At 46.4% G+C, this 13,072-nt stretch overlaps 1 protein-coding gene across 13 annotated transcripts in view; it reads right to left on the reverse strand.

Moving 5' to 3' along the window:
• PDSS2 (decaprenyl diphosphate synthase subunit 2) overlaps nucleotides 2,974-13,072 on the reverse strand; it is a 307,003-nt gene continuing 296,904 nt past the window's right edge. For all 13 annotated transcript variants that reach the window (XM_011535960.4, XM_047419100.1, XM_047419098.1 and 10 more), the window contains one exon: nucleotides 2,974-5,189. In XM_011535960.4, the coding sequence (XP_011534262.1) occupies nucleotides 5,031-5,189 (159 nt within the window). In that variant the 3' untranslated portion in view covers nucleotides 2,974-5,030. The remainder of the gene's footprint in view (nucleotides 5,190-13,072) is intronic.

The raw sequence follows: 13,072 nt of genomic DNA on the forward strand, positions 1-13,072 counted from the left end.
CTTTAGCCCAGGCTGGAGTGCAGTGGTGCGATCTCTGCTCACTGCAACCTCTGCCTCCTGGGTTCCAGCGAGTCTCCTTCCTCAGCCTCCCGAGTAGCCTGCCACGCCACTCTGCCTGGATAATTTTTTAAATTTTTAGTAGAGACCGGGTTTCACCATATTGGCCGGGCTGGTCTTGATCTCCTGACCTCGTGATCCACCTGCCTCGGCCTCCCAAAGTGCTGGGATTACAGGTGTGAGCCACCGCGCCCGGCCTGATATTGTTCTTATGTCAGAGAACAATTTTTCTTAGTTGGAGAATTTAAAAGAAGAGGACTTAGTGGGCCAGGAAACTGCTTTGTCAAACTGTTTCTGGGGAGACAGAATTGAAATGTTTAGAAAAGTATGGCTCTAGGGGTGGGAATAAAAAAGAGTAGTCAGAGAAGAGAAGAAGACTCTGAACTGGCCGGGCACGGTGGCTCACGCCTGTAATGCCAGCCCTTTGGGAGGCCGAGGCAGGCAGATCGCCTGAGGTCAGGAGTTTGAGACCAGCCTGGCCAACGTGGTGAACCCCATCTCTACTAAAAATGCAAAAGTTAGCTGGGCGTGGTGGCAGGTGCCTGTAATCCCAGCTACTTGGGAGGCAGAGGTAGGAGAATTGCTTGAACCCAGGAAACGGAGCTTGCAGTAAGCTGAGATTGTGCCACTGCACTCCAGCCTGGGCGACAGAGCAAGACTCCATCTCAAAAGGGAAAAAAAAGAAGACTCTGAACTGAGGTGGTCACGGGCACCCAGGGGCAGGCTGCAACATGAAATGCTACAGCAAGTTCAGGGCAGAGTGCAGGGCCACTGCTAGAGCTGCTCACAAATTCCAGTGAAGACACCAGCAGTGAATTTTTTTTTTGTTTTTTTGAGATGGAGTTTTGTCCTTGTTGCCTAGGCTATAGTGCAATGGCCTGATCTCGGCTTACTGCAACCTCTGCCTCCCAGGTTCCAGCCATTCTCCTGCCTCAGCCTCCCAAGTAGCTGGGATTACAGGTATAAGCCACCATGCCTGGCTAATTTTGTATTTTCAGTAGAGATGAGGTTTCACCATGTTGGTCAGGTTGGTCTCGAACTCCTGACCTCAGGTGATCCGCCTGCCTCAGTTTCCCAAAGTGCTGGGATGACAGGCGTGAGCCACCATACCCGGCAGCTGTGAACTTTTAAGAATCCATCTCAGTAGAGCAGCGCAGCAAGAGGCCTGATGCATTTGTTCAGCAAGTATTCTTTGAGTACCTAAAGTGTGGTGCTGATCTAGATAATGGGGACCTGCTAGTGAATGACCGATTGTAGGAGGTAAGGAGTTAGTAGACTGTAAGAAGGTTTGCTGGTAAAGCTGGGGGAAGAAATGGAGGTGGAAGGATAAACAGGGTGAAGTAAGAAGTTTTATTTTAGGTACAAGGAGAGCTGAACACACTCACAGCCAGCAGAAGAGACACTGAAGATTCAAGAATAGAGACATGAAGGAGACAGGAGGCAACAGGCTTGAAATCGTTGGAAAAAAATGTTGTTTTTTTCTTTTTAAAAGCCAAAAAAAAAGAAAGAGGCACTACTGGGAGACCCTCAGGTGGGAGGTGCGGTGGGAGGACAAGCCAGTCAATCAGAGGTAATTTTCTCTGCCAGCTTCTGCATCTGTAAATAGGGGGATAACACCTACTCCCAAGAGTGTTTGTGGGGGTTAAAACAAGTGAGTATATTCAAGGCCCCTAGCAGAGTGCCTGGGACATGGAAGCCTGCATTAATGTAGCCTTTAGTATACTTTTTTTTTTTGAGATGAAGTTGCACTCCTGTTGCCCAGGCTAGAGAGCAATGGCACAATCTTGGCTCATCACAACCTCTGCCTCCCGGGTTCAAGAGATTCTCCTGCCTCAGCCTCCAGAGTAGCTGGGATTACAGGCGTGCGCCACCATGCCCAGCTAATTTTGTATTTTTAGTAGAGACGAGGTTTCTCCATGTTGTTCAGGCTGGCCTCAAACTCCCGACCTCAGGTGATGTGCCTGCCTCAGCCTCCCAAAGTGCTGGGATTACAGGCATGAGCCACCGCACCTGGCCAAGTATACTTAACAAAGAAGAAATGAACAGGGAGGAGAGTTCATGGGCCTGGAGTGAGTAGTGAGTGAGGTTTGCAGGAGCCAGCTGACAATTTGGGGGGTGCTAGGCAGAGGAAAGCAGGACAATTGCTAATGAATGAATTCTTCCCTCTAGCAGGTAACTGGGGATGGGGAAAGCTGGAGAGGGGCCAAGGACACATTCTAGAGCCATTAATTCTACTTACTGCCTCCATTAGCCACACCCAGGCAGCAGCAGGCTGAGAGGTGTGATTGAGGAATGTTTCAGTGCCCCAAATTTCTCCTTAGAGATTGTCTGAAACTATAAGAACTTCATATGTGCTAAGAAATAAATATCCCTGAAGAAGGGGCAGGGAGAAAGGCTATTGGTCTTGTATTTTGGAGTGAACTAGCCAACTTGTTATGTTCTGTAAAAGCCTGCCGTGATGCTGAGGAAGTGAGAATTCTGCTAAGTGGGGCCTGAGGAAGGAGGCCAGCCACCCCTGTGGGGGAGGCAGAGCTCTGTCACTCAGCAGGCAGCAGGGGGCTACTGCTCCCAGGGATCCAGGTTCCAGGGAGTCAGGATGGCAAGGTACAGGAGATGGGATAAAGGACACGAGAGCAGCTGGGAAGATGACAGGGAGGTAGGAAAGGTCCCGAAGAAAGCAGCAAGGCAGGTGTTGAGACAGAAAAGTCCAGGGTTACATGTCACATAGGAGAGCTGGAATCCTTTAGGTCATGCAGAGGCAGCTTGGCAGGAAGCTTGCCATTAAGCTCTCTCCATTCCTTCAGGGCCTCTCTTTGGGTTTCACCTTCCCTCCTCCCTGAACCTCACACAGCATCTTTGCTATTTAGACAGTCAAGAATAGTAAACTTTCAGAAAATAAAACAAACCTGGAAAGAATTTCATAATTATCTTGTTTAATCTCTTTTTTTTTTTCACACTTGACTTTCAGGTCAACTTTTGAATCTCATTGTACAGATGAGAAAATTGAGGCTCAGAAGGAAGTGACTTGTGCAAGGTCATACAGCAAACCAGATGCTAACGCAGAATAAGAGGCGCCCTAGGATCCTGCCTGGTGCCCTGCAGTGCCCGACCATCTGCTTAGTAAAACCTACTGCTTGCTGAAGTTCCTGCACATCCAACCAGCACACCTAACGCAAAGTATGACTTCTTTGTGGAAGTTAATGATTAAAACCTAGTCTGATCTAAAGCATCTTATCCATGGTTACTAATTAAGCCAATTTCAGTGACAGAAAGCATTTCAAACAGAACAGTGTTCTCTTAAGCTAAATCTATAGGCCTCAAATTATGGTGGCATAAACTGTACAATTATGATATTTTGAGTACACTTAAAATATTTTATAATACAATACATTAACCTCTGTAGCTTTACATTTTCTCTTCATTGCATGCCACATGTTGGGCCCTGATAAAATGGTTTTATAACTTTTGGGGGAGGGCTTTAACTAAAATAACTTCATGTAGTGTTTGAGCGAACTAGGTAATAAAATCTGTTTGCTGTATTCGCTGTCTCCAGATAGGGCTGTAATTACACCACATGAGGAAGAAAGGTAGCTGAGTTTCAATCTAGATCATTTATGTAAACTCAGCCTTCTTGTCAACGGTGTTCTCAAATTGCATGAGTGCAAACCTCAAAAATCATCTCCTATGAACCACACAGAGACAGTGTCCGATTGCAGGCCTGTGAGATTGCTTATATTCTTTCTGTAATTGGATGTCTGTGGTTCAAGACCAAAATTTGACATTCTGAGGTTAAAAGAACACTCTCACCAATGAATTCCCTAGTACAAAAATTCTGTTTCTGAAACTCGTAAAAATTAAAGTATGCCTTAAACCAAAGTATTACAAATGAATACATTTCACTTGAAAAAAAGCTCCTTTTTCCTTAAAGAAAAAAAAAATTTGGTTCTTTGAAATGTGTTTGAATAAAAAAACTGATCTTCAGGAAAGAAAAACAGACTATTCCTAATATAACCAATTTAACATTTGATAACATTTTAATCTCCTACTTCAAGTATTTGGCAACTTTTCGGCAATTTCTCCAAAAAGACATTATAAAAACCATAAAGCACAAAGTATATTCATACTGCATTATAAATCCAGAGACATGAGGCCAGGTGCAGTGGCTCAAGCCTCTAATCCCAGCACTTTGGGAGGCCGAGGCAGGCGGATCACCTGAGGTCAGGAGTTCGAGACTAGCCTGACCAACATAGTGAAACCCCATCTCTACTAAAAATACAAAATTAGCCAGGCGTGGTGGCAGGTGCCTGTAATTCCAGCTACTCGGGAGGCTGAGGCAGGAGAATCACTTGAACCCAGGAGGCGGAGGTTGCAGTGAGTCAAAACTGCACCATTGCACTCCAGCCTGGGCAACAAGAGCAAAACTACATCTAAAAAAAAAATAATAATAATCCAGAGACATAATTACAAGCCAACAAATAAAACATATTTTTCTCAATCCATTGAACTACTCTCCATTATGACAAATTGGTCACTAGTTTTTGATTAGACAATCCTCCCTGGTTGGTATTGAGAGCATTTCTCTTGACACCTGCAGCTTCCAACTTGCTTTGTCCTCTCTAGCAGGAAAAACCACAGGCCACCGCCCTGGCGCCATCCCTGGCTCGGTCCAATCAATAAGGACTTATTTCCTGTCCATTTGCTGAGGTCACAGGAGCGAATCTCATTAATTATTTCTGCGACTGCAGCCTCAAGTGTGCTTCTGGCGTGACAAGTGAAAACTGCTTGACCTTTTTTTCTTCTAATTTTGTTTGTAGCAGTTCCAAAAAGAAAGCAGAACTCATTTAGCAATGTGATAAAAGGAAGGAAAAATGCATATGTTTTAAAAGTCATTAACGCATCGTGAAAGCGCTCCCAATCAACCTCATTCCCTAGGATTTTCAGCTAACTAACAATAGTGTCTTTTTAATTTGATGTCATGAAAATCTGGTCACAGCAAACACAATGTTTTCTAAAGCAGATCTGGCCTCCGAGGGAGGAAAGCTCTCCAGGGCCTCCAGTGCCTTGTTTCCATGGTAACGACACAGGTCAATAGCTGAAGTCACACCTTTGCCAGCTTTGATTCTTTCTCGCAACTGTTAAGAAACAAATGCATGATAAAAGTCAGTTTTAAAGGTACACAGTAAGCACCACAATTAAATTGGGGAGGGGAGATGGAAAACAAAGAAAGGGAGAAATAGTATAGATTGAGTATTTCTGCTACGTTATTTTCTGGAAAAGAGGACATCATTTCCCAGTGATCTTGAGGCACTCATTCCCTAAGGCTGCTTGGTGTCTGTGCTCCAGAGCAGCACAATAGGTTCCAATCAGCTTAATTACAGCTCCTCCTGACTCCCATCCCTTAATATCTTGAAATGTGCCATGCTGGGGGATGGCAGTAAGAAGGCGGAGGGCATTTACATCTCTGGCATTTTGAATTCAGCAGCCTGATATTCTTCCCTTTTTTTTTTTTTTTTTTAAAGAGATGGAGTCTCGCTCTGTCGCCCAGGATGGAGTGCAGTGGTGCGATCTCGGCTCACTGCAACCTCCGCCTCCTGGGTTTAAGCAATTCTCCTGCCTCAGCCTCCCACATAGCTGGGACTACAGGCATGCGCCACCACACCCATCTAATTTTTGTATTTTTTAGTAGAGACAGCGTTTTGCCATGTTGGCCAGGCTGGTCTCGAACTCCTGACCTCAAGTGATCCACCTGCCTAGGCTGCCCAAAGTGCTGGGATTACAGGTGTGAGCCACCGCACCTGGCCAGCAGCCTGATATTCTTATGTGAGGAAGGCTTCACTAATATCTTAGTTAATAACTTTTTTTTTAACACCATATGTTGACACAATAGTCCATATGAAAATTCAAGAAAGACACATAGTATTAGATCTGAATGTTACTTTTTTTTTTTTTTTTTGAGACGGAGTCTCACTCTGTTGCCAGGCTGGAGTGCAGTGGCACAATCTCTGCTCACAGCAACCTTCGCCTCTCGGGTTCAAGCGATTATCCTGCCTCAGCCTCCTAAGTAGCTGGGACTACAGGTGTGCACCACCACGCCCAGGTAACTTTTGTATTTTTGGTAGAGAAGGGGTTTCGCCATGTTGGCCAGGCTGGTCTGGATCTCTTGACCTCGTGATCCCCCTGCCTTAGCCTCCCAAAAAGCTGGGATTACAGGCATGAGCCACCTTGCCCGGCCTTTTTTTTTTTTTTTTTTTTTTTTTTTTTTGAGACAAAGTTTCGCTCTGTCATCCAGGCTGGAGTGCAGTGGCATGATCTTGTCTCATTGCAACCTCCGCCTCCCGGATTCAAGCAATTCTTCTGCCTCAGCCACCTGAGTAGCTGGGATTACAGGCGCCTGCCACCACACCTGGCTAATTTTGGTATTTTTGGTAGAGATGGGGTTTTGCCATGTTGGCCAGGCTGGTCTCCGTCTCCAGACCTCAGGCAATCCGCCTGCCTCAGCCTTCCAAAATGCTAGGATTACAGGCGTAAGCCACTGTGCCCGGCCTGAATGCTTTTTTTTTTTTTTTTTTCCTGAGATGGAGTCTCGCTCTGTCACCCAGGCTGGGATGCAGCTATCTCAGCTCACTGCAAGCTCTGCCTTCCAGGTTCACACCATTCTCCTGCCTCAGCCTCCCGAGTAGCTGGGACTACAGGTACCCACCACCATGCCCGGCTAATTTTTTGTATTTTTAGTACAGACAGGGTTTCACCGTGTTAGCCAGGATGGTCTCCATCTCCTGACCTTGTGATCCGCCCACCTCGGCCTCCCAAAGTGCTGGGATTACAGGCGTGAGCCACCATGCCTGGCCAGTCTGGCTAATTCTCTAAGTCAGAAACCCAGACGTCTTCATTCCCCACATCCGGTTAGGCACAGGGGCAGTCTCAGGGTTGCTCATTCACAGCTGAACTTTCTGGCTCCCAGAGATTGGGTGTAGCCAGGTGACAAGTTCTGGTCTATGAGTTGTGAATGAGGGATGTCACTTTGTGGCTGCAGCATTTAACTGTCCTGTGAGTCCTTAGAGAGCTTTCCCTCTTGCACAGCTACCAGCCCACACTGGAGATGCTCCTTGGCCTGGATCCCTGAGTGACTGTAATGAGCACCACAGTGCCTCGCCCACCTGTGGCAGCCGAGGTTGTGAAATTATCTGTAGCCATTTTGACTGATAACAATGAATCCCAGTCTTTCTATCTCTTCAGAGCTCTCAAGTTTATCCTCTACTCCTCATTCCCATTGCCACTACATTAGTTCAGGCCATCATCATCTCTCACCTCAGTTAGTTTTTGCAATCACTTCCTAAAGAGTCTTCCCACCACCAGGTCTGCACCCCTGGACTCCATCTACTATGCTGCCAAGGAGATCTTAATAAAATGCAAAGACAATCTTGCTTAAACCCTTCCAATAGCCTTAAGAGAAAAGTCTAAGCTCTTTCATGAGGCATTTAAGTCCCTTGCCAAGCTAGCTCTTGCTTGGCCTCACTTTTCCCCCCTTTTCCTCCTTTATTTATTTATGTATTTTTTGAGACAGAGTCTTGCTCTGTCACCCAGGCTGGAGCGCAGTGGTGTGATCTTGGCTCACTGCAACTTCCAGTTCCCCGGCTCAAGTGATCTTTCCACCTCAGCCACCCGGGTAGCTGGGAAGACAGGCATGCACCACTATCCTTGTTTAATTTTAAAAACTTTTTGTAGAGATGAAGTCTCACTATATTGCCCAAGCTAATCTCAAACTCCTGGGCTCAAGAGATCCTCCTGCCTCAGCCTCCCAAACCTTCTCCCCTTTAATTATAGGGGAACCAACTGCAGTTCTCAGAGGTAACCTGATCTACCATCTCCCCCTGGGGCTGTCTCCCCCACCCCAACAAGCTCCCCAAATTCCACCTGGGTGGAATGCACTGAGCTAGGAAGATGGCCCTAAGGAGCTAGTTGCTCCTCTTCCTCTGGGTACCTGGAGTACTCCCTGTGCACATCTGGAGTAGTGTATTGTTTTAGCGTTTTTGTTTTTTTTTTTAGACAGAGTCTCCCTCTATCACCCAGGCTGGAGTGCAATGGCGCGATCTTGGCTCACTGCAACCTCTGCCTCCCAGGTTCAGGCGATTCTCCTGCCTCAGCCTCCCAAGTAGCTGGGATTACAGGCACCCGCCACCACGCCTGGCTAATTTTTTTGTATTTTTAGTAGAGACGGGGTTTCACCATGTTGTTCAGGCTGGTCTCGAACTCCTGACCTCGTGATCTGCCTGCCTCGGCCTCCCAAAGTGCTGGGATTACAGGCATGAGCCACTGCGCCCGACTTAGTGTTGTATTTTAATTCTCCATTCACTTATCTATGACTTCATGAGACTTCAAGGTCCTTACTGTATAATGCATGAAACATGAATGAATAAAATAAATAAGCTGATTTATTCCTCTAATTATACAGTCAAGAGAACAGAGGTCCAGAGAAACTCAGTGACTCAAGATCACAGATGGAGGCAGGCAGAGTAGAGATCAGAAGCCAGGTTTTCTTTCTTTTTTTTTTTTTTTTCGAGACAGAGTCTTACTCTGTTGCCCAGGCTGGAGTGCAGTGGCGCGATTGTGGCTCACTGCAACCTCCACCTCTCGGGTTCAAGCATTTCTCTGCGTCAGCCTCCCGAGTAGCTGGGATTACAGGCGCCTACCACTACACCTGGCTAATTTTTTTATTTTTAGTGGAGACGGGGTTTCTCCATCTTGGCCAGGCTGGTCTCGAACTCCTGACCTCAGGTGATCTGCCCACCTCAGCCTCCCAAAGTGCTGGGGTTACAGGCGTGAGCCACTGTGCTCCGCCAGAGGCCAGGTTTTCTAATGCCTTGTCCAGTGGCACTTAATACTAAACTCCATCAGATTCTCAGCACTTCACAGATATTTCCACACTGCATATAGCCTTTGGGAACTGTTCTAGCCTAGGTTTCCTTGGTCTCTTGCCAATCATTGAATGCACAAAGGCACTAAAATGGTGCTGGGTATCAGAAGCAGCCAGATTCAAACTCCTATCCTAGCTTTATAATCTTATGGAAACCATTTAACTGTTTTCTTTTTTTTTTCCTTTGAGATGGAGATTCACTCTTGTCGCCTAGATTGGAGTGCAATGGTGCAACCTCGACTCACTGAAACCTCCACCTCCCAGGTTCAAGCAATTCTCCTGTCTCAGCCTCCCAAGTAGCTGGGATTACAGGTGCCCACCGCCACACCCAGTCAATTTTTATATTTTTAGTAGAGACAGGGTTTCACCACATTGGTCAGGCTGGTCTTGAACTCCTGACCTCAGGTGATCTGCCCACCTTAGCCTCCCAAAGTGCTGAGATTACAGGCGTGAGCCACTGCGCCCGGCCTTAACTGTTCTCAGTTCTAAGTGGGGATAATATAAGTCCCTTGTCGGACTGCTGGGGGGACTACATAACACTGCACAGAGTGCCTGATAGTGCCTAAATCACAATAGATGCTCGGATGACTTAGTTTCCCTTCATTAAGCCCATAGCCATTACCAAGAAAGCCATCCCACCCACCAAGATCAAGTCTATTTTGACGTGATATACAATAACCTCAAAGCTAACTGGACTTGGATCAGAGCAGTCTTAAGGGAAGGAAGGAAGGAAGGAGGGAGGGAGGGAGGCGGAAGGGAGGGAGGGAAGGAGGAAGGAAGGAAGGAAGAAGGGAAAGAAGGGAGGGAGGGAGGGAGGAAGGGAGAGAAAGCAAGCAAGCTACCCTATTTTCTTTCTTTTCTTTTTTTTTTTTTTTGAGATGGAGTCTTGCTCTGTTGCCCAGGCTGGAATGCAGTGGCGCGATCTTGGCTCACTGCTACCTCCGCCTCCCGGGTTCAAGCGATTTTCCTGCCTCAGCCTCCCGAGTAGCTGGGACTACAGGCACGTGCCACCATGCCCGGCTAATTTTTTGTATTTTTTTAGTAGAGGTGGGGTTTCACCGTGTTAGCCAGGATGGTCTTGATCTCCTGACCTTGCGATCCACCCACCTCGGCCTCCCAAAGTGCTGGGATTACAGGCGTGAGCCACTGCGCTGGGCCAAGCTCCCCTATTTTCATTATCTCTTCTCCAAATTGATATTAGGCAGACCAACATTCTCCTCCTATTCTAGACTTCTAGGTTAGCACCTTTAGGTATGTAAATGTCTGCATGACTAGATAAGATGTTTAATTTATGAGTATTAATTGAGTATTTACTATATGTAAAGAGTAGAATAAGCCTTCTTTGCTTTGTGGATCAAGAGTTAATTAAGGGATGGCTGGGTGCGGTGGCTCACTCCTGTAATTCCAGCACTTTGGGAGGCCTTGGAGGGCGGATCACTTGAGGTCAGGAGTTCGAGATCAGACTGGCCAATATGGTAAAACTCCATCTCTACTAAAAATACAAAAATTAGCTGGGCATGGTGCCGTGCACCTGTAGTCCCAGCTACTTGGGAGGCTGAGGCAGGAGAATTGCTTGAACTCAGGAAGTGGAGGTTACAGTGGGCCAAAGTCGCGCCATTGCAATCCAGCCTGGGGGCTGCAGTGCGACTCTGTCTCAAAAAACAAACAAAACAAAAACAAAAACAAAAAAACACAAAGAACAAGAGTTAATTAAGGGTAAACTGTGAAAAGCAGCAAAACCAGGGCACAAATGTAGGACTACAGCTATTGAGAGAAATGAGAGATCAACTTTAACTGAAAGAGATTCTAAAAGGCCTTCCTCTGTCACCCAGACTGGAGTGCAGTGGTGGATCATGATGGTTCACTGTAGCCTCTACCTCCTGTGCACAAGCAATCCTCCCATCTCAGCCCCCAAGTACCTGGGACTACAGGGACCTGCCACCACACCCAGCTAATTTAAATTTTTTTTTTTTGTAGAGACACATTCTCACTATATTGCTCAAGATGGTTTTAAACTCCTGGCCTCAAATGATCCTCCTGCCCCTCGCCTCCCAAAGTGCTGGGATTACAGGCGTGTGTCACCTCGGCCAGTTGATGTCTTGTAAATGCTGATAAATAGATATGGGCTTGGGAGTAGCAAGGAAATTGTAGGGAAAGAAAACTGTTTGAGCAAAGGCACAAAGGGGGCCAAAGTGTGCAGAGTGTCCAGGGAATGAAAACAGATCAGTATGAAACAGCTTGCTGTTTCTTGGCTCACTGCAACCTGTGCCTCCCAAGTTCAAGAGATTCTCCTGCCTCAGCCTCCTGAGTGGCTGGGATTACAGGCGTGCCACCATGCCCAGCTAATTTTGTATTTTTAGTAGAGATGGGGTTTCTCCATGTTGGTCAGGCTGGTCTCGAACTCCTGACCTCAGGTGATCTGCCCACCTCGGCCTCCAAAAGTGCTGGGATTACAGGTGTGAGCCACTGCGCATGGCCAATTTTTGTATTTTTTTAATAGAGATGTGTTTTCACAATTTTTGTTAGGTTGATATCAAACTCCTGAGCTCAAGTGATCCACCCACCTCGGCCTCCCAAAGTGCTGGGATTACAGGCGTGAGCCACCACTCCCAGCCTAGGCTAAGAAATTTGTACTTTTTGGCCGGGCGCGGTGGCTCATGCCTGTAATCCCAGAACTTTGGGAAGCTGAGGCGGGCGGATCACGAGGTCGGGAGATCGAGACCATCCTGGCTAACACAGAGAAACCCCGTCTCTACTAAAAATACAAAAAATTAGCCAGGCGTGGTGCCGGGCGCCTGTAGTCCCAGCTACTGTGGAGGCTGAGGCAGGAGAATGGCGTGACCCCGGGAGGTGGAGCTTGCAGTGAGCCGAGATTGTGCCACTGCACTCCAACCTGGGTGACAGAGCGAGACTCCGTCTCAGGAAAAAAAAAAAAAAAAAGAAATTTGTACTTTTAAAAAGTGTTCAATTTGTATTATAAATTATTTTCAAAGTACAGAAAACTTGAACCATGGCCCTAGGCTAAATTTGACCCTGTGTTCTCATAAATAAAGTTTTGTTGGGGAATAACCACATCCATTCATGTGAGCATTATCCATGACTCCTTTTGTGCTATAAAGGCAGAGTTGCAGAGTTGCAGAGTTGCCTGAGAGGCTGTATGGCCACAAAGTGTTAAATATTCACAGTTTGGCCTTTACAGAAAAAGTCTGCTGACTCAAGTACTAGTGCTATGAATGACCATAGATTCTCTACCTAGATTCAACAATCGCAACAATTGTTAGTATTTTGCCATTTTTGTTCTATCTATATGTGTGTCTGTGTGTGTGTTTTCTGATCCATTTGAAAGTAAACCGCCGATAGTGATATGCTAGTAAATTAGTTCTCTTGGGGGACAAAAGCCTGCATTTGCAGATTTTTGTGGTATAAATACTCCCATTATGGCTGATTTCAAACTGCCAAGGGTGGTGGGGTCACACAATTCTTGAAGATTTAATAATAGCCTGTGAGTCGTTAGGACTTGGTTTGGGCACATCATTGGCTGCAGGATGCTTCACCCTTGTTTTGACATGCATCTCTGAAGAACATTGTCCTACATAATCACAATACTATTGTCACAGCTAGGAAAGCTAACTAGAAAAACTAATTAGAGAATTCCCGGCCGGGCGCAGTGGCTCACGCCTGTAATCCCAGCACTTGGGAGGCCATGGGGGATGGATCACTTGAGGCCAGGAGTGAGACCAGCCTGGCCAACATGGTGTAACCCCATCTCTACTAAAAACAAAAATTAGCCCGGTATGGTGGCGTGCACCTGTAATCCCAGCTACTTGGGAGACTGAGGCAGGAGAATTGCTTGAACACGAGAGGTGGAGGTTGCAGTAAGCCAAGATCATGCCACTGCACTTCAGCCTGGGTGACAGAGTGAGTGAGACCATCTCAAAAAAAAAAAAAAAAAAAAAAGGAGAGAGCATTCCCTATTTATTTTTTGTTTGTTCAAGTTTCCAATTTTTAAAAATTTACACTTTTTCTTTTTATTTTGTCAAGAATTCCCTAATTTTTTTTTTTTTTTGAGATGGAGTCTCACTCTGCCACTCAGGCTAGAGT

This window comes from Homo sapiens, chromosome 6, assembly GCF_000001405.40.
Source record: "Homo sapiens chromosome 6, GRCh38.p14 Primary Assembly".
Classification (NCBI taxonomy): Eukaryota; Metazoa; Chordata; class Mammalia; order Primates; family Hominidae; genus Homo; species Homo sapiens.